This window comes from Homo sapiens, chromosome 17, assembly GCF_000001405.40.
Source record: "Homo sapiens chromosome 17, GRCh38.p14 Primary Assembly".
NCBI classification, from domain to species: Eukaryota; Metazoa; Chordata; class Mammalia; order Primates; family Hominidae; genus Homo; species Homo sapiens.
Window position 1 is genome coordinate 77,871,093 of NC_000017.11, and position 25,648 is coordinate 77,896,740.

Below are 25,648 nucleotides of genomic sequence, written 5' to 3' on the forward strand. Positions count from 1 at the left end.
ATGAAAATCCAGCATTGGATTTTCTGATCCTGTAAACATAAATAACATTAGAAATCAAGGTCAGCAAAGTCTAGCTGAGTGTTCTTGTCTGCTGAAGGCTTGAATCCTGAAGAACGCTCTTATTTGCTTAAAAAGGAGATTTCCAATCTTCAAAAATGTTTAAACATGGAATTATCCTATGACCCAGGAATTCCACTCTTAGTATACACCCAAAAGAATTGAAAACAGATATCCAAATACTTGCACATGAACGTTCACAGAAGCACAGTTCATCTCACAGAAGCAGAAAGGTAGAAACAACCCAAATGTCCACCCAGGGCTGAATGAATACACAAAGTGTGGTTGACCCACGCAGTGGAGTGTCACAAAAGGAGGGCCCATGGCTGGGCGCGGTGACTCATTCCTCTAATCCCAGCACTTTGGGAGCCCGAGGTGAGCAGATCACCTGAGGTCAGGAGTTCGAGACCAGCCTAGGCGACATGGTGAAACCCCATCTTTACTAAAAATACAAAAATTAGCCAGGTGGGGTGGTGGGCACCTGTAATCCCAGCTACTCGGGAGGCTGAGGCAGGAGAATTGCTTGAACCCCAGGAGGAGGAGGTGGCGGTGAGCCGAGATTGCACCACTCACTGTATTCCAGCAGTTTGAGTGACAGTGAGACTTCGTCTCAAAAAAAAAAAAAAAAAAAAAAAAGAAGGCCCACAAAAAGAGGGAAGCACCAATTCAGGCTGCAGCACGAAGGAACCTCCGAAACATCACGCTCAGTGAAAGATGCCACACACAAAAGGTCACATGTAAAATAATTACATTGCTATGAAATATCCAGAATAGGTAACTCCACAGAGACAAAAAGCAAGGTGCTGAATGCCAGGGGGTGGGGGGCGGGTGTGGAGATGGGGTGGGGGAAGGAGGAAGGAGTGGTTGCTTAATGAGTATGGGGTTTCCTTTTGGGGTGATGAAAAGTGTCCTAGAACTAGATAGAAGCGACAGTTCCACAACATTGTGAACACAATAAATGTCACAGAAGTGCGCACTTTAAAGTGGCTAGTGGTGAATTTTATGTTCAGTGAATTTTATCTAAATTTTTTTTCAAATGGGAGATTTCCAAGTGTTAGCAAGGTGTTAGAGACATACCTTCACCAAATGAGATTTTCTCCTTAATGCTGTAAGAGAAGAATGAACGAGAATGGCATATTGCCTGCTAATCTCCACGGTACTTTCGCCTGCAGTGTCTCCTTGGGTCTGCTCGGTGACCTTGGACTGCCGACGGGAAGGTGATGGTATCTGCATTCGTTTCCTGGGGCTGCCATCACGAAGAACCACAGACTGGGGGTGGCCTCAACATCAGAAATGTATCGTCTCACAGTGCTGGAGGTTAGAAGCTCAAGATCAAGGTGTCAGCAGGTTTGGCTTCTCCTCGGGCCTCTCTCCTTGGCTTGCAGGTGTCTGTCTTCCCACTGTGTCCTCACATGGTCTCTGGGCGCTCACACATCCCTGGTGTCTCTGTGTCCAAATTCTTGTGAGGACACCAGTTGGGTTGGATGAGGAGCCACCCTAACGGCCTCATTTCAACTTAATCACCTTTGAAAGGCCTCATCTCCAAATACTGTACAGTCACATTCTGGGGCACTGGGGGCTTGGGCTTTAGCACATAAATTTCGTCGAGAGAGGACACGATCTGGCCCCCAACGATGTCCCAGCTGACTTGATGAGGGACATGCAGAAGGCAGCTCAAGCCACAGAGTTGGTGGGAGCAGCACCGGCCAAGAGCCCGTGTGCTCAGAGCTCCCCCCATATATGCTCCTCCACACCTGCTGCTGCACCCAGGGGTGTGAATGACCATACACACACACACACGCGTGCACACACACACAGACCCACACACGCCCACAAACACACACGCACACACAAACACACGCACACACAAACACACACACGCACACACATGCACACACACAAACACATGCACACACAAACACATGCACGCACACGCACACAAGCACACACACGCACACACGCACACACAAACACACATGCAGACACAAACACATGCACACACATGCGCACACAAACACGCACACGCACATATGCACACACTTACACAAACATGCACACACTTACACAAACATGCACACACACACGTGCACACCATCTGTTTCAGAGATCAAGACTGTTCAGCCTCAGCTCCCTTGCCCTTGCCATCTCCACTGTGTCTCCCTCTCAATCCAACAGCTGCACAGGCCCCCACGAAGGCTCTGATCCAGCATCTGGGGGATGCATGTGACTAACTAATTAACTCTAATGAATTACGTGTCCACACGCCTGGTGAAAAGGACGCACACGGAGGATGCATGCTTTCCCGAGTTTGGACCTGGAGAGATTGATAACGACGACCATGCATTTGGAATTCAGAGTTGGGTCTTTGTTTAATATGCATCTTTCTTCTCCAGGCATCAAAGAGATTATTTTTTTTTTTTAGAGTAAACAGACTTCAAAACAGGATTTAGTCTCTGAAAGCCTGCACCTGATTTGTCAGTCCTGGCTCAGGCTGCCCCAAGCCTTAATCATTTTGCAGGTGGATGAAAGAGATCTGAGATAGTGACGGGGGGGAGAGGAGGGGAGAGGATGCGTGCGGAGGTGCCAAGCATACTGGCTCTGCTCCTGCAACTGAAGCAGACATCAGGACCCGGTCTGTTTGAGCCAGAAACAAAGGGCACCAAGCAATAAAAATGAGCCCATCTTCTCGTCCCACACCTCCCACGGCCATGGCCTCACAGGAGCCCCGTCTCCTCGCTGAATACGTCCAAGGATGTGTCCATTTCATCCTGGCTGTTTTAAAAAGCCATCCTGGAAAAGATGCTCACGTGGGTAGCCCTTTGCCTCAGCGTCAGCTGGTTGACTCCACTCGAAGCAGCCCCTTCCTGCACCAGTAGCCCCTCCACCCTGCTCAAACCCGAAACTGGGGTCCCCTTCAAGGTCTCTGTGCCCCTTGCCCCAGGCCAAGCCTGCAGAGTCCAGCCTTGCAGACCAAGCCTGCAAAGCCCATTTTCAAATAATATGTTCTCATTCTCGAGGGGCCCCTGCTCCCCCCATCCCTCCCCAGCCACATGGCTGGACTGAAGCTTGCACCTGTTTTGATATCCAGGGAAGGGTCTAGCCCAGTAGGTCACCTGTCTGATGGCTGCCCCTTAAATGCAGGTGGCATGCCCAGAAAGACTCAACCTGCCTCTGAAACCCTCCCTGGTCCCCACAGAGGGACAGCCACCCCCCTCCCTCCCTGCACCATCACCAAACACAGATCAGAGCCTGTATCTTCTTTCTTGTCCCACTGTGGTCTCAACAGCAAAGCAGTGTCCTGTTACATGATTGGGGGGTGGGGCGAGATGTTCGGGGAGGCCCGGTTCAGTCACACTGGTGGTGCCTATAGTATCCAGCAGCTGCCTGCACCCAGTATGTCTACACCCCCTCAGAAGCCGGGTTTCTGCACTGCCCCGCCTCCCCGCAGCAGAGTGTGGACCCTCAGTGCAAGACAAGCAGTGCCCAGAAGCTGGGTGTGGAGTCAGACAGAGCTGGACTAAACCCCAGCGTCTCCTCTTTGCAACTTTGGGCAACTTCTGAACCATCCTGAGCCTGTTTCCTCTTAGGAAGAATGGAGGTGATCATGGAACCTGCCCTCGGAGTGAGTGTGATGTGATAGATGGTGTGAAAATGCCTGGCACAGAGCGGGCACTCGGCACACACTAGCTCCTCTGCTTACTCCTGTGCCCCTCGGCTCCTTAGAAAGAGAAGGCTGCTCAGCGGAGAGAGGAAGGGTGCAGGGAGAGGGGAGGGCGCCAGGAGAAGGGAGGGTGCAGGGAGAGGGGATGGAGGGCCCTACTCCCCATTCAGGCCAAACTGCATTTCACCAATCTCCAGGTTCCCATGTGACCCCCAGCTCCTTGGGGCACCTACGTGCTCCCCTGAATCTCAGCCCCCACTTGTGGGCACTGAGGGAGCTCAGACTGCAGAAACATCCAGGCTGGCTCCAGCCCGGCCATTCTGACCACATACTCGTGCTAATTCCGCCAGAAAGACCAGCCTGTGGTTAGCAAGGGCAGCTATTATGGTTTCCAGAAAATTCCTTTGAGCAAAGAGAAGCTGTTTGCCATTCCTGAGGCCCCTCCAGCCTGTACAAATGTGGCTTTCCAATTAAGCTGGGGCTGCTCCCAGATCTCTATCTGCTTTCCTTCTAAAGTAAGAAAAATCCTAGAGCAGTAGGCACTCCTTTTTATTTTTCTAAATCACTTCCAGTTATTTTTTCTGATGACCCAAGTAGTGCCTTTTCTGTTACCCAGGAACATGGTAGAGGGGCTGATTGGGGTCAGAAGTCCGGGGGACCAAGTTGGGGACCTCATAAGGAGAGACAAGTTTGGGAGAAGGATGGCAAGCTCCTCTCTGGATGGGTTGAGCAAGAGGCACTTTAGAATTCTTGAATCTGCCTCTGGGCAGGAATGTCTGGGAGAGTTGGATGCCCAAGGCTGGCTCTCAGGTGTGGGCTGGAGTGGCAGACTTGGAGTTCCTTGGCACAGATACGACATCACATCATGGGCTTGGATGGGGTCTCTGGGACAGTGTGTGGAGTTGAGAGAGGAAAAGGCCAAGAATGAAACAAGGAAGAGAAAACCTGGAGAACAGAAATCATCAAAGTGTGGCAGGAACACAGAGGGGGACGAGACCAAGACAGAGGGATGCAGTGAAGCCGGGGAGGAGGGGGCTTCAAGAAGGGGCAGGTCAGCTACATCATGTGGCCAGAGAGCTCAGTTCAGATGAGGCCCCAAATGGCCCACTTGATGTGGTACTTGACATGTCAGCAGGCAACCAGGAGAACACAGCAAAAGTGACATTATGCCAGTTCTGGGTCCAGTCTTGAAGACTGGCACATTTCACTTCCTCTTTCTTAAAATGTGCTCTCTTGGGGCCCTCCCTCTCAGACCCAGGCACCCATGCTGTGAGAATCCCAGCCTAGGATACGTGTAGCCTCTCCAGTCAACAGCCCTGGTGGAGTGGCCAGCCCAGAGTGAGTCAGCATCAAATGCCAGATGTGAGTGATACATCTTGGGGACTCTGACTTAGTCATGTTTGTTTATGACTGAAGCCCCATCCAGAAGAACCTCCCAGCTGAGCCCAGTCAACTCATAAACTCATGAAATAACAAAATGGTTGGTTTTCACAAGCCAAAAAAAAAATGTGTCATCAGAGATTCCACCAGAACAACTTTAATGGCTTGATGGGGATAGACCCCTAACCAAGAGGGATAAAGCATGAACAAGCATGTGTATTGTGTGCACATAGGCATGTGTGCAGGGAGGAGAGACAGTGTTTAGAAGGGCTTCGTTGAGGAACTTGACTTTGGAAGGATTGCTCATTTCCCTTCACTATTTAAAAGGTCCCATCTTTGCCAGGTCTCAGGCAAATTTCCTACCAGGAAAAGCCCACCCACAGCTTGAGAAAGCGGCTTCATCAAAGATCTTGACCCTGTGATCAAGCAGTCTCAGAGCCTTAGGCAGGGAGCAGCAGCCTCAGGCCCCAGTCCCAGCCCTTCTACTTAAATTATTGGGTCTCAGTTGGAAACAGTGGCTCACGACTATAATCCCAGCACTTTGGGAGGCTAAGGCAGGTGGATCGCTTGAGGTCAGGAGTTCAAGTCCAGCCTGGTCAACATGGTGAAACCCTGTCTCTACTAAAAATACAAAAATTAGCCAGGCATGGTGGCACACGCCTGTAATCCCAGCTACTCGGAAGGTTGAGGCATGAGAATCACTTGAACCAGAAAGGTGGAGATTTCAGCGAGCTGAGATCGCACCACTGCACTCCAGCCTGGGTGACAAAGCGAGACTCTGTCTCAAAAAAAAAAAAAAAAAATTGGGTCTCAATTTCCTCCTCTCCAATGCAGGGTTAATGGCACTTCGCCTGCCAATTTCTCAGGGCCATTGCTGGAAAGAAATAAAATGAAGGATATAAAAACTATCAAGGCAAAGGCTAATGTAAAAGATTCTTCTGATTCCTACTCAAAGGGAGGAGGAGGTTGAGGGAGGAGGAGGTTGAGGTCCAACCAGAAGCTGGCGGCCTCCTGAAGTTTCGACAGCACACTTCTCTAAAAGCAAGCTTAGGAAGATCAAGGCACCCACAGGGCTTTGAATCTCACTAGCAACCTCTGGCAACCCTTCCATTCTGCTCAGATTGACATTGTGCTAAAGAGCCTGCCTTTGGCCCCTTTGAGGGCTTCTTGGATTTGCAGGGAAAGTTAGGGACTGCTTCTGTGACCAAAATCAGAAGCCATTTCTACAGCACCTGCTAGAAGAGCTGGCTTCCCTCTCTGTCTAACATAATCCCATTTTCTGCCTCCAACATCTATGGCTTGAAATCTGTGCTGCCTTATGGCATGGAGGAGAGAGCACCAGAAAATGAGCCTAAAAAGTCAGAAGTTCAAAAAAGAGAAACAGAAAACATTAGCACCTTTATCCTACTGACCTGCAGGCAGCATCCTGCACCAGGACTGTGAGGAAGCCAAGAGAAGCCGAGAGCAGGCATAAGATGCAAAACAGAGTAAAATAAATAAAAGTCACGCATCGTGTTAGGGAGAGGGTCCACGTGGCCGACCAATGGCAGCAGACAGCCCCTCCTGACAGCTGCAGCTTTAGGGGGCCTTCAGAGTGGTTTCCATGGCACCCGTGCCTTCATAATCCTCACCCAAGCGGCTCTCCTTCAGCTCACCTTGCGTCACCAAGCTGGAGGAGAAATGAAGTAAGTGTGACAAATATGCTGATATCCAGAGAGAAAGAGAAGGTGGGGGAAGGAGGGAGGCAAGCCCAGGGGCTTCCTCCAGGGCAAGTGGCTGGGGTCCCTGCCTGGGGCTCTGAGGGCATTTCTGGGGGACCAGGCCTAACCAAACTCTGATTTAGAAAAATCCAGGGACTCAAATACCCAAACAGTTTGGAGAGAAAGGTGATCTGAGCTCCTGTGGGCAGATGGTCGGGCCTTACACAGCAGGTCCCTGGGAACACAGAACCCTGGGGCACCAGGCTCCATGGCCACCACGGTCAGGTCTTATTGTGCTCACTCCCCTCCAGGCCCCTGGCAGAAAGTTCAGCCTTTATCTCCACGCTGGCATATAAGCTGTGTGGCCTGCATTCACCGTGTGACCTCGCAAAGCCTGTGCTCATCTCTCTGAAAAAATACTGGGTTGTCCTGAATATTGAAAATCCTATATTTAGATGTTCCCAGCTCATGCCTAGGACATAGAAGGATTGCAGACAGCTGCAGATTTTTAATATACCCATTTCGTTGAAGTACAATTCACATGCAATAAAACTCACTAATTTTAAGTATACCATTTGATGGATTTCAACATGTATATGTAGTCATGGAGCCACCACCCAATCGAGATAGAGAATGTCTCTATGATGCAGAAAAGTCCCTCCTGGCCCTCTGCAGTCAATCTTCTCCCCCCATCTTGGCCCCAAGCAACCACTGATGGATTTTCTGTCCCTAAAGCTCTGCCTTTTCCAGAATGTCATATATACAGAGGCCTCTGTGTCTGGCTTCCTTCACTTCGCACAATGCTTTCAAGGCTCACCCACATTGCTGCATGTACCAGTAGCTCCTTCCTTTTCCCTGCTGGATAGCATTCCATCCTTTGGATTAAACAGAAACTTTCTTGCGTGTGTGTGTGTGTATGTGTATGAGACTGGGTCTTGCTCTGTTGCCCAGACTGGAGTGTAGTGGCCTGATCATAGCTCACTGCAGCCTCGGCCTCCTAGACTCAAGCAATCCTGTTGCATCAGCCTCCCGAGTAGCTGGGACTGCAGGTGTGCACCACCATGCCCAGCTAAATTTTTTTATTTATTGTATTTTATTTCCTGTTTTTTTCTTGTTTTTTTTTTTTTTTTTTTTTTAGAGATGGGGTCTCACTATGTTGCCCATGCTGGTCTCAAACTCCTAGGCTAAAGCAATCTTCCTACCTTGGCCTCTCTAAGTGCTGGGATTAAAGCCGTGAGCCACTGCACCCAGTCAATAATAACTTTTTAAATATTTGATTATGTTTAATGATACTTGAAGTCCACCCTGAGTCCTGTTCCCCTTTGTAATACTCTGCTGTTTCTTCTTGGGTTCATCTCAGAGGTATCATCATGGTCACACCTTCCTGGCATGTTCCTGAGCTTTTATCTTCACGCAGACCCAGTAGTACCTGCTGGTGGGGAGAGGGGTAGGGAAGGGGTGGGGGTCGCCCACCCAACCCAGGCTCACCCCCAATCCCATGTGAAACTGCGCCCACCCGCCATGGCTGCACCCATGGGTGTCACCAGTGGGACAACAGTGCAGGCGTGGCCTTGCTGTAGCATGCCTGGTCCACCTAATGCTTTCCCAGCCCCTGCCTGACCTTTGCCAAATCTGTCCTTTCTTTCTCAGCCCTAGAGCCCCACAGAGAAGGTGGCGTGGAAGGTCCCCACAAAAGAATCCAGCCCTTCTCCATCCACTGATTTCTTTTCTTTCATTCATTCAACAAGAAATTATTGACGGGCTTCCTGTGCCAGGCACAGGCCAGGGGCTGGGTGGCAGGCAGAGGGGCAGCCTCCAGGGCCGCAGGGCCCAGCCAGGCCCACCTCCATCACCTCTCCTTCCCCGCCCCAGACTTGGCCCAATAGGCAGGACTGAAACGAAACCTCGCCCCTCCAGCATCCTCCAATTTCTTGCTCTTAGTTCAGACCCTGCACAGCAGCAGGCAATTGAAAAGGACTTCCGGATACCCGCTCACACTTTCATCCTTCTTTTCTCTCTGCCTTTTTTCATCTTCTTTTTAAAAATGCTCTTTAATAGTGGGAAAGTTAGCATGAAAAGGAGAGAAAATGAGGCTTGAAAAGAATGTGTCTGATGTGCAGCAATTTGTTCACCTGCGAGAGGTTCTTCCCCTCCTGAACCTCGCTGCTGGGGGGCCCAGCGCTGCCGGGCGGCAGGAGGCGGGAGGCGGCTGGGAAGCTAGAGGAGGCCCGCTCTTCTGCCCTTCTGAAAGCAGAGGCAGGAGGTGGGTCAAGGTAAGAGATTGGCCTCATGACAGCAAGTAAAGTCAGGGTCGTAGGAGACCAGGGTCACCTGCCATGTCCCTCTGGCATCTGTTGGAGCCACAATAGGGACCTGGAGAATTGTTCACCATAAGGCATTTCCTTTCCTGTCTTAAGGCAAGAGCCTGGTGTCCTGTGTGGTGGGGAAAGGGGGCCTAGAGTCAGGGAATGGGGTCCCAGCAGGGCAGGTTCAGGGCCTGGTCACCCCAGGACTCAGACCACCATTTCTTCCTCCCTCCTACTTGGGCTCCAGCCACATGCCCCACTGACCTCTGGAAGAGCCAGTCAGATCCCAGCGAAGGATCCTTCCCCGAGGATCCCAGCTGGGCTTAGGGTTTCAAGAAAGCCTCAACTGGCCTCCATCCACTCTGCGCTGGACTGAACCAGCTGCCCCCTCCCCTTACTCAATGAGAAAGCTCAGGACCCACATGCAAGACAGAGCCTGCAAGAGAAGACCCCCGTCGAGCTCCTTTCCTGCAAAGGAGACCATTCTTTGGCTCCTATCATGAGAGGCAGGGAGGCAGGGAGGCAGGGAGGCAGGGAGGCAGGGCCAAAGTACCCACAGGGCAGGTGCTGCTAGAGCTTGTTTCCCTGGGAAATGACAGAGGGGTACGACGCCAGCGAGCCTGGAGTCTTGACAGGCTGGACGGCCCAATGATTAGACAGTGGGCTCTGGGCCAGCCTGCCTGGGTTCAGATAAAATCAGATCAAATCCATTTGCTGCTTATTAGCTGTGTGGCCAGGACTGGAACCAGACAGAAACTGGGGGTGATTATAGCGGTGCCTCTCTGAGTCATTGTATAAGTTACCACCCATAATGCTCTTGGGATGGTACTTGGCACACAGTAGGTGCACGGAGAAGGCTGGTGTCCCGAGCTCAGCATCATTATTCAGCCAGACCCTCCCCAGCATAGTAGCGCCCACCCCGCTGGCAGGATAGGAGGATGGAGGATGGGTACTTCCCCCCTCCCCTTCCACCTGGGGCAGGGAGAATCTGCCAGGAGTGCCCCGTCCCTGAGCTCCAGCCTCCCCCACCACCCCCAGTGACAAAGACAGAGCTGGAGCTGGGCTGGGTAGCAAAAGCTGCAGACAGGGGGCTGGGCTGATACCTCAGGGTTGCCCCCACACTGCACAACTCTGGGGATGCCATTTACATCAACAGCCCATGGTGGCCCCTGCCCAGGGCCAAGGCACAAGCTCTGGAGGAGACAGGCCAGGGTTCCCTGAGATGCCGTTTGCCCACCAAAGGCTGCTTCAAAGCCCCAAAGAATAAGCCTGACAAGGCAGAGACAGAAGCATGGGCTGAGAAGGGCCTGGGAGCCCGATTTGCCGGTGGGCCCAGCCTGGGGGGACGTGGGTTTTCCCTTCTCCTGGAGCACAGTGGCCTAGTTTTGTCCTGGAGACTGAAAAGACAGACCCAGCGAAAAGCTTCATGCTGTCCCTCCCTCAAAGCCATCTCACGCCCACACATCTCCACACCCCTCCCCAGAGGCCAGAGCTGCGGGAACCCCAGTGAGAGTGTGGTTTCCTCTCAGCCTCGCCCCTCAGAGACTTCCGCTCAGCAGCAGCTGCGGCCAGGCCAGCTCGAGGCGAGACATCAGCCAGTCCTTGTGAAACCTCCCTGCACGGTGGAGACAGACAGAGACAGGGCACCAGGCCAGGCCCCTTCCAGTGGAGGGGGCAGCAAGTGAGCAGGGGCGGTCAGAGGGGTGGGAATCACAGGGGAGAACAGTGACTAGGGAGAGTGATAGAGAAGTGTGTGCCACTGCTGTGTGCATGTGCAAATGTGCATGTATGCACATAGGTATGTGTGCTGCACGCTCAAGTGTGTAGTATGTGTGCAAGTGTGTAGGTGGGTGTGTGCAAATGTGTGAGCAAGCACAGCTGTGTGCAAATGTGTAAGTGTGCACTGTATAGGCACAAACGGATATGTGTCAGTGTACAAGTGCTGCTTGTGCAAGTTTGTGGCTGTGTGTGCAAATGTATGCGAGTGTGTCTGTGCCTGTATGCAAATGGGTGTATGCAAGTGTGCAGGTGTGTCACACAAGTGCAAGGGTGCATTTCTGCAAATGCACATGTGTGCAAGTGTGTGGACATGCGTGCAAATGGGTGCTAGTGCACAGGTGTGTGGGTGTGCAAGTGGATGCAAACGCATATATGTGCACATGTGTTCAATGCATGTGTGTGCAACTGTGCACATGTGTGCAAGTGTGTGTGTGTGAGTGCCCTGGAAAAGAGAGAGGGAGAGGAGGAGGGAAGGAAGAGCAGAAAAATACCTATGGTAAAAGCCAGCACTGCCCAGCAGACATGTCCAATGGAGAGCACCAAGAGGCAGAAACAGCCTCTCTTTGTTCCTGTCTCAGTAGCGGGCATAGTAGCAGTACAATGACTTGTGCTGCCTGCCTGGCAGATCACACAGGTCACAGATGCCTCCTCGTCACAGGATGTGGTCGCTGCACCCTGTCCTAACTCCAGTCCTTTCCCTCACCTTCACCAGCTAACCCCTTCCCTCCAAACCCCCTCCCCTGATTGCTGTCAAGGTCAGCAGGCCCCGCCCCATCCATGAGCGAGCCAAGGGTAGTATCTGCTCAATGCCGTCACTCCGTGTGGGCCAGCTTCTCCTCGCCCAGGAACAAGGGGATTTCCTGACTGTCTCTTTAGGCAGGGTGACGTAAGCTGTTTTGCTAGTGTAGAGCCAAAGAGCCTTCCAGGCCTTCATTTATCTAGATGTGGAGTCCTTTGGGAATGAGCATAGCAGGCTTGTTCCTGCCCAGCATCTTGGAAGATCTCGGACTAGTGCTCCCTGCAGATGATTGGGACCTAAGAAACAGAGCCCTGCAGAAGGACTGGCAAGACCACATGTCCCGGGGTGGCCAGTGTTTCCAGCAGTGACACTTGGGATTGAAACCAACCTTTGCAGAGCGAGAGACCCCACAGTACCAGCTGTGCCACTGACTGGGAAGTGCCCAGCCTTGGCCCTAGAGTGGGAAAATGGCCTGGACATGAAATGTGTGGGGACCTGACACCTGTGCTGGCCCCTGCAGCAGAGGCAGAGGCCCAGGCAGGCGGGGACCTGCTTTTCCCAGGGCTCTCCAGGGAGTCCCTGCACAGCCCTCAAGAGCCTGCCCTGCGTTATCATCCTCAAGGTCAAGAAACTTCCTTGGGGGAGTCTCCAGAGACAGGCAGCCTGGCCATGCCCTGGCGGACCCACCCACTCTACTCCAGGACCTCCGGATTTGGTCTGGGAGTCTCGGCACAGGGGAGTCTGCCATCGAACCAGCCACCTGCATCAGAGCCGGGTCCACCTCCTCCGTCCCGCTGTGGCTCTTTGAGCCTCAGTTTCTTCATCTGTAAGGTGGGAGGTGAGGATGACCAATTCAGTGTCTGGTGAAGACAAAATTTATCCCCTTGTCCAGGGCTGGCCTGGAGCAGACCCTCCCCTTCCTCCTCATCTCGGCCCCAGGACAAGCATGGCTTCCCTCCCTAGCCTTCCTCCCTTGGAGCTCCAGGCACTGAGGACTCCTGGCAGATCTCATTCATCTCTCTCTCTCTCCCTCTCTCCCTCTCTCTCTCTCCCCGACCCCCCCCCCCCCGCCAGAAAGCCACGTAGATATCCCTCTCTCCTGGAAAACTTTCCTGCCCCCAAGCCCCGGTGGGGTGCCTCTCCTACGGCCTTGCATGTATCCCAAACTTTCCCTACCTTCCCATCAATCGTGGTGAGCTGGAATTACCTGATAATCTACCTGCCTCTCTCTTGGACTACAGTCCCCTTGAGAGTGAGACTGGGTCCAGTAGACTGTTGTCTGCCCAGTGCCCAGCACAGGGTAGATGTCCATGAAATATACATGGACCAGTGACCGACTGAGATTGAGACTTGACTGGAAGCATCTTCCAAATGGCTGCTGGGAGAGCAGCCCATCCGGCACCCCAGCTCATGCCCCATCCCCCACTCCTCCAGCTCCTCTCCTCCCAAGTCCCTGCCGTCACAGCCAAGCTCGCGCTCCAAGGCAGCTCTGCCATCATCTGATGCAGACTCGTCAGCTGTTGCCATGGAGACCAGCCAGCAGTGAGCTCTGTGCCCTCCTGCTGCAGGGGCCGAGCAGAGCATGGGGGCACCCTGAAGCGTGCAGAGAGAACCCATCAAGGAGGAGGCGGGGGGAACGCGTGGCTCTGCATCCAGGCAAACCTGGAGTTGGGCCCCATCTGCCCCTACTCTCCTTCCTACACCTGTGACACCTCAGGCAAGTTGCTTCATCTCCCTGAGCCTCCCGTGAAATGCAGAAGATCCCAGCCACCCACTGTTATTGAAGGATGGGATCGACCCATTAGGGCATGGAGCTGTCTCTGTGTCATTTTGGTGTGCCAACCCCTGCCTTGGCTTTCTGGGGGCTGTTTTGAGTGTTCTCTCCCCTTGAACTTTGTGTCCAACTCTCCCCACCTCAACTCAGATGAGGCTGAAGGAAGGAGAGATTCCATTCCTACAATAGCACAAAAAGATTTTCTGTGACATTTGAAAACAAGAAGAAGCCTACAGGTTTGTTAACCAAATTTTGAACTTGGTCTGGCTCTGAGGGCTACTAATGTGGGGGCCACATTGGTTGCTTCCTGCAGTGAGCTAAGGGCTATGGGCAACTCTGCTCATGAAGAGCTTAAGGTGGCATCTCACTTGCAGGACAGCCTCCAGGTCTCACTGGAGTCAGGGAAAGTGATGGTTGTCCTATCTCCTTGTTGCTTTAAATGGTAGCTATCTCTGAAGATGGCTGAATGTCCCTGTGCCCACTGGGGACTTTGGGAACAGAAACATGCCAAGATGCTACAACCGGCCCTGGGCACAAAGCCACCTCTCCAGCTTTCCATGCCCAGCATTAGTCCTGGCATGGAGCTGAACACCTGTGTCTGAGGCAGGCCTAGGCCCTGATGCAAAATGTACCACCCACCTCCTTCTGCCAAATGTCAACTCGACCCAGCTGCAAGGCAGAGAAAACTTGGCAGTGTTCCCAAAGGGGACAGGAGATTGTCTCTTTTGTTAAATGAATGGATGGATGGATGGAGGATGGATGGATAGATAGATAGATGGGTGGATGGGTGAAAGGGTGGGTGGATAGGTGGTTGGATGGATGGGTGGATGATTGGATGGATGGGTGGATGGATGGGTGGGTGGGTGGGTGGTGAATGGGTGGGTGGGTAGATAACTGGATGGGTGGATGGGTGGTTGAATCGGTGGATGACTAGGTGAAAGAATGGATGAATGGATGGGTGGGTGGATGAATGGATGGGTGGGTGGGTAGGTGGATGGATGGATGGGTGAGTGGGTGGATGGATGGATGGGCGGGTGGGTGGATGGATAGGTGGGTGGGTGGATGATTGGAGACAGGAAAGAAAGAGAGAGAGAGAGAGAGAAAGGGAGGGAGGGAGGGAAGGAGGGAGGGAGGGAGGAAAGAAAGAAGGGAAGGAAGGAAGGAAGGAAGGAAGGAAGGAAGGAAGGAAGGAAGGAAGGAGAGAGACAGAAAGAGAGAGAGAAAGAAAAGAAAGAGAGAGAGAAGGAAGGGAGGAAGGAAGGAAGGGAGGGAGGGAGGGAGAGAGGAAGGAAGGAAAGAAGGAAGGAAGGAGAGAGAAAGAGAGAGAGAGAAAGAAAAAGAAAGAAAGAAAGACACAAAGAGAGAGAGAAGGAAGGGAGAAAGGAAAGAAGGAAGGAAGGAAGACAGACAAAGTGAGGAAGATTGCACCAGGATTGCCTCAGATGGGTCTTGCTATGAATAAAATTCAATAATACCAAGAAGAGCTTTACAAAAAGAGAGAGAGAGATAAGGTCAAAGAGACTTTTATGTGCTTCATGAATGAAGAACACTAAGGAGAAACGTTCCAGAAAATTTAGAGGAAAAAAAAAGTGGCTGAACATAAATTTTTGGTGAGGATAATAAAAATAAATAATGCCATAAACTCTTAGAAAACCTGGTGGTTTTCCTTCAAGGGCTTCAGTTAACTCCAGAGTGAGCTGTGAGCTGTGTCCAATTCCGTCATTTCACGGAGCAGGACACTGAGCCACGGGCCATTGAGACTTGCGTGTAATGCGGAGCTGGCGAAACACAACAGTGAGGTGTTTATTGGAGAATTTTGAATATGACTAAGTCCTTCTTTACAGAGCTTAGCATTTTCATCGTCTGTTTTAGGATGAGAGAACAGCATCAGCAGCATTCGGCACGATTGACAGGTTGTGTTTGCTCTTTGCTTATACCTCCTAAAAAGTGGACTGTCTTGGAAGTTTTATTGTAGTTCCCCTCGAAGCAGCCGCAGGTGCTCACTGGCTCACTGACAGCGAGGAGGTGATGCAATGGGCGCAGTCATTCCTCACTGCCATCGGCGTGTGCAGCTTGGGGAAGCACCACAGCACCGGGCGTGGCTCAGTTGACCAGCTGAAGGTTCCAGATCATGGAGGCAGAGAGGAGAAGCTGGCGACAGAGGGCAAGGCGGGATCTGTGGAGGCTCTTCCTCTGCCACTGTGGAACCCTGAGCCAGCCCCCTGCCTCGGGCCTGTCTATATTCCCACAGAGATGTGGAGAGCTGTTATGTGTAGCTAGATGGGTTCTAACGTGTCTCCCAGGGCTGGTATTTGGAAGAAATAATAAAGAGGAAAAAGACATTGCTGATGGATCCCAGTGGATCATGCCTGAGGTTTGGGAGCAGCCCCGGTCTTCCTTATTGAGTCTGTGTGATCTAAGTTTCCCCTCCTGTGACCTGCAGCTTCCTCCCACAGAGCTTTGCAAACTGTTTTGGCATTAGGATCCTTCTGGGAAATAGCACCTTACTCAAGACCCCAAAATATGACACAGATTAAAAAGGAGGCATGTCGTTCTGGGTGGGACGTGGGCTGCCCTACCTGACACCCTGCCTGTTGGGGCTCCCATTTCCACCCTCTCCACCCCGAACTCTGAAAACCCCTGTGCGACAGGGAACTGGCTTTGTCTTGTCTCCTCACAGCCTGACAGCCACAACTCTATTATACAGTAAGACCCCCGAGGCTAGGGACTAAGTCCTGTCTTTTTATCTCCAGCTCCTAGCAGCATTCCTAACCCAAGGCAGCCACACAGTGTTTGTTGAGTGAATGAATGACCTGGGAACTAGTCGCTAGAATAATGCTACATAACAGACAACCCCAGAAATCTCAATGACCTACAGCAACAAAGATCAACATTTTTTCTTCTTAATGGGTACAGATCAGCAGAGGCTGGGCTCCATGTGTAATTTCAGGGCTCATGGCCACACCCAGCATTGACGCGGAGCAGGGAAAAATTCTGCACCCACTCTTGGCGGGGGAGGGCGGGAACGCACTGCAAAGCCACCTGGCGAAAGAGGCAAATGTGAAATTCTACACCAGGGAGGGAGGGAAGAATTAGAAACAGGAATCCAATCTGCCACAAACTAGAAAATGGAAACAATAAAAAAGAATGCCTCCGTGGCGTGGTAGAGGTTGTTACAGCGTCATGTGTTTCAAGCTGCTGTAGGCTACAAAGCCAGGGGTGAGTGGAGCAACCGCGTGCTGTTAATGCCACGTCCCCTCTGCTGCGATCACCGCGCAGTGACCGGAAGGAGAGCTCATTCTCACAGAGGGCGATGACGTGCCGGACACAGGGACCCTTGCGCAACAAGGTCCACCACACAGAGGGATTGAAGCCGTGCGTTCTGCTCTAACAACCGCCCGAGCTGCCCCTCCTCAGAAAATGACCGATTAGGAAGGGAGGCTGGCCTGGCATCTCAAAAGCTGTCAGGACAGAGAAAAATGGGGATATTGTCAGCACTTCAGGCTCGGTGGCGGTATATCCGAGGATGTGAGGGTGTCTGCGTAACTGGCATCGGAATCGAAAGGCCCCGCCTCCCCCATGCACGGGTGCGCGCACACACTCACACCCTCCCTCCCTCCTGCTCCCCCAAAGGGACTCGAATGAAAGGCGTAAATACACCGTGTCTGCCTACCCGAGGGCTGCTGTGAGTGTCAGATGAGAAAACGCCTGGGGTAGTGGCCCGAGACTGAAGCGCGCTCCACGCCTACCAAGTGCCGCTCAACCCCAATTCTGCTCTCGGGGAGAGAAGAGAACTCCTGCCAGACCCGAGTGTTTTCAGAAGTTTGTCAGTTTAGACTTTCCTTTTTTTCCTTTCCAAAGCTCCGCTCACCCAAGAGAATAATGTAAACATTCATGATGGCGTTTTCATAGTCCCGGAGGCATTGATCATGATTGTGAATCTGAAAAGAGCTGAGTTATTCATGTTTGACAATTCAGTCATGCAGCACTCCACATGTTACAATCTTTAATGGTGAACATTGCTTTTACTTTCCAAGCACTTTCTCATCTGTTGTCTCATAGGGGAGGAGTTATTCTCCCAATTAGGGCAATCAGAAAACAGGGATCAAGGCCAGGCACGACGGCTCATGCCTGTAATCCCAACACTTTGGGGGGCCGGGGCAGGAGGATCACCTGAAATCAGGAATTTGAGACCAGCCTGGTCAACATGATGAAACCCCATATCTACTAAAAAAAAAAAAAAAAAAAAAAAAAAAAAAAAGGTTGGGTATGGTGGCATGCACCTGTAATCCCAGCTACTCAGGAGGCTGAGGCAGGAGAATTGCTTGAACCCGAGAGGGGGAGGTTGCAGTGAGCCGAGATGGCACCACTGCACTCCAGCCTGGGTGACAGAGCAAGACTCTGAGAGAAAGAAAGAAGCAAGAAAGAGAGAGAGAGAGAAGAAAGAGAGAGAGAGAGAAAGAAAGAAAAAAAAAGAAAAAGAAGAAAGAAAGAAAGAAAGGGAAGAGGAAGGGGAAAGTGAAGAGGAAGGGAAGAAAGGGGAAGGGAAGGGAAAGCAGAGGTCAAAAAGGATCAGGCCACTCGCCTACTGGGGGATAGCGCATGGAGGAATCAGACCCCACAGCCTGCTCTTCTTCCCCCTAGAACCCTCACCACTGCCAGATCACTGGGCTATGCACTGCTTCCCTCAAAATGCCTTCAGCTTTCTTTCCCCAACCCCTGAGACTTAAGGATCCCACCTCCCTCCAGAGGCCTGTGTCCCGTCCCCATTTGTTCCTCATTTCCCTGGGGTCTTTTTGCATCTCCCTTCTCTCCCTCTGCACAGCCACCGTCCTGCCTCCCTATACAAACCCCAAAGTAACCTACTCTCCCCACAGATCCTCCAGACAGACAGACACCCACCTGCTGCCTTGGCATGGGCTCCCCTGAAAGCAGTGTCTGGGGCTCGAGCTGGTGGGCAGGCATGAATTTGTGTCTGCAGGGGTTTGAACTGTGTTCTCCAAGCGATCATACCCCCAGCAACTGTAAATGTGACCTTATTCTGGAATAGCATCTTTGCAGACGTAATCAAATTAAGGCGAGGTCATAGGGTGGGACTTCAGTCCAAAGGCTGGCATCCTTAAAATAAAGAGAATTTTTTTTTATTTTTTATTTTTGAGACAGTGTCTCGCTCTGTTGCCCAGGCTGGAGTGCAGTGACTCAATCTCAGCTCACTGAAATCTCCATCTTTCCGGTTCAAGTGATTCTCATGCCTCAGCCTCCCGAGTAGCTGGGATTACAGGCACCTGCCACCACGCCCAGCTAATTTTTGTATTTTTAGTAGAGATGGGGTTTCACCATGTTGGCCAGGCTGGTCTCCAACTCCTGACCTCAGGTGATCCGCCCTCCTCAGCCTCCCAAAGTGCTGGGATTACAGGAGTGAGTCGCCACGTCTGGCCAGAAAGGGAAATTTGGACACAGAGACACACGCATGAGACCACCAAGGCAGAGACTGGAGTCTACAAGCCAAGGAACGCTGAGGCCTGCAGGCAAGCGCCGGAAGCAAGAAGAGAGGCACAGGGTGGCTTCTTCCCTGGAGCCGTCAGAAGGAACCCACCTCGCTGACACCTTGATCCTGGGCTTCTGGCCTCCAGAGCCGTGAGAGGATCCATGCCTGCTGTTCGAAGGCTCTCAGTCTGTGCGAATTTGTTACAGCAGCCACAGGAAACCGACACAGTGTCCCTCTCCCTGAGGTGTCTACAGTCCTCAGAAAGAGATGAGGCCAGGGTCACTTGCAGAAAGTCCTTTGGGAAGCATCGTGATTGGAGCAGCTGTGGCCCGGCGGGGAAGGCAGGACTTGGAGCGGGAGAGAGCTCTGTGCCAACCCCAGCTTGTCCCCTCGGTGGGGGCAGGTGCTTAGTGTCCCCCACCAGGGGCTCCTCAACTCTCAAGAGGTGAGTTCAATGCCGATCTCCCAACGTTAATGATAATAATAAGAGAGCAGCAGCCCTTGCCAGGCACCCTGCTGGGCATTCGGAGATATGACTTCTCACCCTTCAAGACGAGTCTGGCCATTCCAGGTCAGAGGAACTGGCCGTGAAGAAGCACCCACAACAGCTGGGACACGGCAGGCAACCACCATGCTTCCAGCCTCTCCCGATGGGAAGGTGTCGGCGTGCAAGGAGCTCTTGCAGGAATGCTTGTATCAAAGACCCCAAACAGGGCAGCAGAGGCCCAAGGCTGGCTGGAGTGCCAGGTGTCAGGGCTGCGTGCCCCCCACCCTCCCATCCACTCTCCCCCACCCACCCCCCACAGTTGAGACTCCTCCCTCCTGGGCAAGGGTCTGGTCATCCCCCTGACACCTGGCTTCCTCTGAACTCTGCTCTGAGAGTCACCTTTCATGCATTCGTCATTCACTCAAAAAGCCCACTCTGAGCACCCAGGCTGTGCCCGATGCCATGCTGCAAAACGGAGCCCTTACTTGAAGATGCAAGCCCAGCACACCTCCAACAGAGGTCCAGGCCTTGGGGCAGTGGCAGAAACCTGAGGCCATGCTGGCTTCCCCCCAGCTCCCCATCCCCACCTCCTCCCCTGCCACCTCCCAGGGATGCCTGTAAGCCCAGGTTTCTCCAACTGGGGTCCTCAGGAGCTCTGGGTGAGGGGCTCAGGACACACTCATCAGCACAGCTTGCTGGAGTAATCATTTTACTTAAGTAGATTGGGATGGGAGGAGTAAATGTTGTTGTTGTCATTGTTGTTTTGAGACAGGGTCTTGCTCTGTCTCCCGGGGCTGCAGTGCAATGATGCACTATAGCCTCTAAACCCTGGGCTCAAGCGATCCTCCCACCTCAGCCTCCCAAGTCTTGGGTGCCACCACACTCAGATAACTTTAAAATATTTTGTAGAGATGGAGTCTCCTTATGTTGCTCAGGCTGGTCTCCAACTCCTGGGCTCAAGTGTTCCTCCTGGCCTGGCCTCCCAAAATGCTGGGATTTTAGAGATGAGCCACTGCGCCTGGCCGGTGTTAACTTAAGTAATTTGATTGTTGCACAACCTAAAGCATAATTGTTCTACTAAGACACATAGGACCATATTACAGGGCACAATGTAAAAGTCATGAATTTCTACAACAAGCCTCAGTGGTTCAGAAACTTCTGTTCCCTTCTGCCTGCAATCCCACAGGATCCGCTCTGGCCTGGAGCAAACTCTCATTTTCCCAAGAGAGCAGCGCCCCAGCCTCCCTCCAGGCCCCATTCCAGAATCGCAGCCTCCTCTTGGTCCAGAAGTACTCGTCCCGAAGCCTGCTGAAAGGCTGAAGCCTGGAGTCACAGGAGTGGCTCCTGGGCAGCCATGGAAGCCTCCTTCCCTGTGGTGGCGGCAGCAAGGACACCAGCCATTAATCACTCTTCTCTCCGTTTTGTCAGACCCAGCAGCCTCCTGAAGATGCTGCATAAACACATTTAACCTTTAAAGGGTCGGGTGGCAGCCCCAGGGAGGGAAAGCTCAACATCCTCACCCCTGGGGTAAGCCCCCCTCCCTCCTCTGCTCTCAGACTCTCCTGGTCAAGGAAGAGGAGGGAGTTTAAAACAAGAAGGAAGGGCTCTTGGTGACCCTCACTCCACCCGTCAAGCTGACAGAGCTCCGGCTACTGAGAATCCAGGGGAGGTTCTCCAAGGAGGACGAGGGTCTAGGAGAGATGTCAGCAGGAGTGGCTGCGCCTGTCTGTCATCGCTTCCCCAGGGGCCTCTGCCACTGTGGCCCCTGAGGATGGGGCCTTTCCTGTCCACAGGAGCAAGAAGCAGTGAGGGTCCCAGGCTGGGGGAAGGGGCTCTGCCTGGGGCCTGACACCTGGGGGTCTGCTTGGCTGGAGGGGGGCCTCCGCCACCCCTTCCCTTTTTCTCCCTCCCACATTCATTCAGCAAAATCAGGAGCCGCTTCCAGGTTCCAGGCATGGAACCTGGGAACCAACGATGAAAGGAGAAAGAAAAGACAGTGTCTGACCCCAGGGGACTCCTGGTGGGTGCAGGGTGGGGAGCAGGCTTGCGAGACACTATTTCCATAGGATGAATGTAAATTCCAGGATGGGTAGGAAGGAGGCGCTGTGGAGCCCTGAGAGGGGAACGGAGCTCCAGTGCTGGAGAGGTGGCTGTCAGAGACGGGCAGCTCAGCAAAGGTGACATTTGACCTCGGTCTTACAGTATGAGTAAGAGTTCTCTGAACAGACAGAGGGAACTTGAATGTACTGGCTAGGACCTGGGCGGTGAGGACGTGGAGGCCAAGGCTCAGGTCTCAGCCACCCTGGAGCGTCAGTGAGGCCAGCCCCGAGCACCAAGACCACGCAGTGGACGCAGGGCTCTCATGGTGGATGCGTTACCTGCTGCTGGCAGCTCGCCCCAGGACCCCTCAGCTACAGAGACCTGCCCACGGCGACGCCCTCCCCTGAGGGGCCACAGCCAAAGGCCTGTGCTGGAGAGCAGGGCTGGCTGCCTCAGCCCACTCAGGACAGCTCTGAGGGCTGCCCTGGCCAGGCTCTCCCGCAGCCGCTCCAGCGTCCGCCTCCATTGTTCCTCAATAACCATCCTGCAGACTCAGCCTGCTGCCTGGGAAACCAAACCCGCAACACACAGAGGGTGACGGTAAAGCTGTAATTTAGAAACCAATGGGCAGTAAACCAGATCAGAAATAAAAGCTCCCCATCAGCTGGAAACCCAAACTCATTCCAATCTCACAACCAAGGCTCACTCCCTCCAAATGCCCACTATGGAGGACCACAGAGATCGAGGCTTCCCGGGGAGCCGTTCGAGATTCTGTCTCCCATGTTCTTGAGGTTCCTAAACCCCTAAACCAGGACACCGCACACCCGGGACGCCACCGTAGGATAGAGGGGGTTTGTCCTAAAGAAACACTGTCACGTCAGACATGGGATGGCCTGGCGCAAAAGAATGCACCACAGCTTAAGTGACACCGAAGATGCAAAAGCCAGTGTCCCAGGATGCGGAGTAAGGGCACCCAGACACCGATGCTCAGAATATCTCAGAGACACACCTGCATCACCCCAGAGACGCTGGAAGCCACAGAGTGCACACAGATGGCTTTCTTACCCACCGTGCATGGCCTGCCCCAGCAAAAGGGGCCGGCTGAGTTTCCGGGGCAGCAGATGAAGAAACCTCGGCTCTCAGAGAGGGAAATCAGAGGTAACAGACAGAACTCACCTCTTCCTCCTCTTCTTCTCTCTGTATCACTGGCTAAGAGGTTTGAGGTGGGAAGCAAATGGGTGGCCTTTGAGTGCTTGAGTTTGTCCATCAATTACACTCTCCCGCCCGAGCCATTGCAACCTGCTTTCCATAGATATCGTGAACCTCTGGCCGGGCACTGACCTAACACCAGCTTGGAGTGGCTGCTGAATGGCACTTGTTCATTTGTTTGTGGTGAGGAAGCTTAGTTGCCAGGGATTTGTTAAAGAAGACATCATGGTATGTTGTTCATTAACTCTGACCTGCCTGGCTACCTTTATTTGTAGTGGAGAGAGGGAGGCATTCTGCCCTCTGGATTTCTAACGTGCCAAGCATGTATGACAATGGCTTACAAATGCCAGTCCCTGTGGGGATGGTTTGTTCCCGTGACAATGTGCAGGTGAGCAGGCATTTTCCCCTCTCTCCTCCTCCTCGTCAGGCCTCAGGGGGTTAAAGGCTGGGAGCATGAGGAGTCTCAGGGTGGAGGATGGAGGAGGCCTGAACTAGGACCAGGTGGAGACTCGCCCCACAGGTGAGATGGAGGAAGTGACCTGGGCACAGAGTGGGCTTGGAGTATGCAGTACACAGTGGCCCTTGTGGCTGGGGTGAGGCAGGTGTGAGCCCCTCCGGGGACAGCCCTGAGCCAGAGGGTGCTGAAGGGGTCTTACCATACGTGGCCTCAAGTAGCAAGCTGGTCACCTTGAATCCCGAGAGCAACGCCAGGTAGAAGCCTGAGGAGTTGCTGGGGACAAGGCAAAAGGGCTGGGCCTGGGGTTGCAAGGAAGCACAGTGTGGGATAGGACAGGGATAGCAGCCCCTGAGGCCCTTCGTGTGAGCTGCAGGTGTGGGCAGGGCCAGAAAGGACACACGCAGGAGTGGGCAGGCAAGAGCAATAGAACAACAAGCAGAACCAGGGCAGGGCCCTGGCAATGGGGCCTCAGCCAGGCACTGAGCTTCCAGGCCCACCCATCAGCCCCAACGGGCCAGGCTCCATCCCTGAGGACTCAGGGTCAGGCAGGGCCAACAGAAGGCCAGACAGGGAGAGCAGGAGCCAGGTGACTTCCATTCCAGGGAGCAGCGCTGCGCCAGGAGCAGGAGGGAGGAAGAGCAGGACGGGGCCTCCGCAAGCCTCTCTGGGGAGCAACCCTGGAGCTCAGCTACCTCCACTGCAGCTCAGGTCTCTGAGGCCTGCAGCTCAGCACAGCTTCTTATCTGAGATGCTTCATAAAGGGCCCTTCCCGGGCACCCCTGCCCCTGTCCCCCCTAAACTCCGGGAATGGGGTCTGCCCAGGTGGGCCTGCCCACTAACCTCTGAGAACCCATGCGGACTGGGCATGGTAGCTCACGCCTGTAATCCCAGCACTTTGGGAGGCTGAGGCAGGAGGATCGCTTGAGCCCAGGAATTTGAAACCAGCCTGGGCAACAAGGCAAAAGTCTGTCTCTACTAAAAATACAAAAATTAGCTGGGGACGCTGAGGTGGGAGGATCACCTGAGCCCGGGAAGTCAAGGCTACAGTGAGCCATGATTATGCCACTGCACTCCAGCCTGGGCGACAGAGTGAGACACTGTCTCAAAAAACAAAAAGAGAGAACCCATGGGGACTGGCGTGAGCTTCAGGTCGTGTTGTCTGGGTTCAAGATCTCCATCAGGCACTTAGTAGGGGTCCATCTTATAAGCGAACCTGAGCCTCAGTTTCCTCGTATGTAAATGACAAATAACAATTATTAATAGCTACCTCATAAGATTGATGTGATAATTTTATTTTTTGTACTGTTTTTAAATTTTTAAAATTTCTGTGGGTACACGGTAGGTGTACAAATATATATATATATATATATATATATATATATATTTATTTCTGGGGTACATGAGATGTTTGATACAGGCATGCAATGTGAAATAAGCTCATCATGGAGAGTGGGGTATCCATCCCCTCAAGCATTTATCCTTTGAGTTACAAACAATCCAATGACACTCTTTAAGTTATTTTAAAATGTACAATTAAGTTATTATTGACTATAGTCACCATATTGTGCTATCAAATAGTAGATCTTATTCTTTTTTTAACTATGTTTTGTACCCTTTAACCATCCCCACCGCCCCTCCAGCTTCCAACTACCCTTCCTAGTCTCTGGTAACCATCCTTTCACTCTCTAGGTCCATGAGTTCAATTGTTTTGATCTTTGGTGTGATAACTTTTTTTTTTTTTTTTGAGATGGAGTCTTGCTCTGTCACCCAGGCTGGAGTGCAGTGTCGCCATCTCGGCTCACTGCAACCTCCGCCTCCCAGGTTCAAGCGATCCTCCTGCCTCAGCGTACTGAGTATCTGGCATTACAGGCACGCACCACCACACCTGGCTAATTTTTGTATTTTTAATAGAGATTGGGTTTTGCCGTGTTGGCCAGGCTGGTCTTGAACTCCTTGCCTCAAGTGATCCGCCCACCTCGGCCTCCCAAAGTGCTGGGAATACAGGCCTGAGCCTGTGCGCCCGGTCCTATGATAACTTTTTAAACAATATACTTAAAAGATGCTTAGCACAAGGCCAAGCAAACCCTAAATGCTCAAAACACACTTTTTAAAACTTATTATTATTATTATTATTATTATTATTATTATTATTATTATTACCAGTGACAACTTCAGTCCCCGCCACAGAGGGCTGTAGGGACTACCCCAGTACATTCTTTTTCTCTATATATTTGTCTGATCCTCTGGCAAAGTGACATTTGGAGGTTTAGAGGTGGCCGATGACTCCAGCTTAAAAGAGCTGTGGAAAAAAATAGATGAAGAAACAGGAATCATTCCACCAAGCCCACAACCTAAAAATAAGCTGGGCGTGGTGGCACGCACCTGTGATCCCAGCTACTCAGGAAACTGAGGCAGGAGAATTGCTTGAACCTGGGAGGTGGAGATTGCAGTGAGCCAAGATTGCACCACTGCACTCCAGCCTGGGCGATGGAGTGAGACCCTGTCTCAAAAAAAAAAAAAAGAAAAAAGAAAATGAAAACTGTTCAGGGCCATCTTCTGATGCTCTCGCTG

At 52.4% G+C, this 25,648-nt stretch overlaps 2 long non-coding RNA genes across 2 annotated transcripts, besides 6 other annotated features; both read right to left on the minus strand.

Moving 5' to 3' along the window:
• Positions 1,391-1,892: an enhancer, noted in NCBI's record as "H3K4me1 hESC enhancer chr17:75868565-75869066 (GRCh37/hg19 assembly coordinates)". NCBI's record gives its function as "activates a minimal SCP1, AML or CMV promoter by ChIP-STARR-seq in naive H9 embryonic stem cells {active_cell/tissue: H9 hESC(naive)}" and the evidence as "EXISTENCE:reporter gene assay evidence [ECO:0000049][PMID:30033119]".
• Positions 3,443-3,943: an enhancer, noted in NCBI's record as "H3K4me1 hESC enhancer chr17:75870617-75871117 (GRCh37/hg19 assembly coordinates)". NCBI's record gives its function as "activates a minimal SCP1, AML or CMV promoter by ChIP-STARR-seq in primed H9 embryonic stem cells {active_cell/tissue: H9 hESC(primed)}" and the evidence as "EXISTENCE:reporter gene assay evidence [ECO:0000049][PMID:30033119]".
• Positions 4,992-5,177: a silencer, noted in NCBI's record as "fragment chr17:75872166-75872351 (GRCh37/hg19 assembly coordinates)". NCBI's record gives its function as "represses an EF-1alpha promoter that drives an FKBP-Casp9 reporter gene in an ReSE screen in HepG2 liver carcinoma cells {active_cell/tissue: HepG2}" and the evidence as "EXISTENCE:reporter gene assay evidence [ECO:0000049][PMID:32094911]".
• LINC01973 (long intergenic non-protein coding RNA 1973) lies at positions 7,909-12,995 on the minus strand. Its single transcript, NR_028337.1, has 2 exons — positions 12,830-12,995; positions 7,909-12,446 (listed from the first exon to the last, which is right to left on the minus strand). It is a non-coding gene; the product is annotated as a long intergenic non-protein coding RNA 1973 (long non-coding RNA).
• Positions 11,473-11,832: an enhancer, noted in NCBI's record as "active region_12853". NCBI's record gives its function as "activates an Ori minimal core promoter by ATAC-STARR-seq in GM12878 lymphoblastoid cells {active_cell/tissue: GM12878}" and the evidence as "EXISTENCE:reporter gene assay evidence [ECO:0000049][PMID:35858748]".
• Positions 12,996-17,457: 4,462 nt separating the features above from the next.
• Positions 17,458-22,751, minus strand: LOC107985087 (uncharacterized). The gene is made up of 4 exons (XR_001753033.2): positions 22,588-22,751; positions 18,993-19,132; positions 18,299-18,514; positions 17,458-17,569 (listed from the first exon to the last, which is right to left on the minus strand). It is a non-coding gene; the product is annotated as an uncharacterized LOC107985087 (long non-coding RNA).
• Positions 19,235-19,735: an enhancer, noted in NCBI's record as "H3K4me1 hESC enhancer chr17:75886409-75886909 (GRCh37/hg19 assembly coordinates)". NCBI's record gives its function as "activates a minimal SCP1, AML or CMV promoter by ChIP-STARR-seq in naive H9 embryonic stem cells {active_cell/tissue: H9 hESC(naive)}" and the evidence as "EXISTENCE:reporter gene assay evidence [ECO:0000049][PMID:30033119]".
• Positions 20,176-20,724: an enhancer, noted in NCBI's record as "H3K4me1 hESC enhancer chr17:75887350-75887898 (GRCh37/hg19 assembly coordinates)". NCBI's record gives its function as "activates a minimal SCP1, AML or CMV promoter by ChIP-STARR-seq in primed H9 embryonic stem cells {active_cell/tissue: H9 hESC(primed)}" and the evidence as "EXISTENCE:reporter gene assay evidence [ECO:0000049][PMID:30033119]".
• Positions 22,752-25,648: the final 2,897 nt, after the last annotated feature.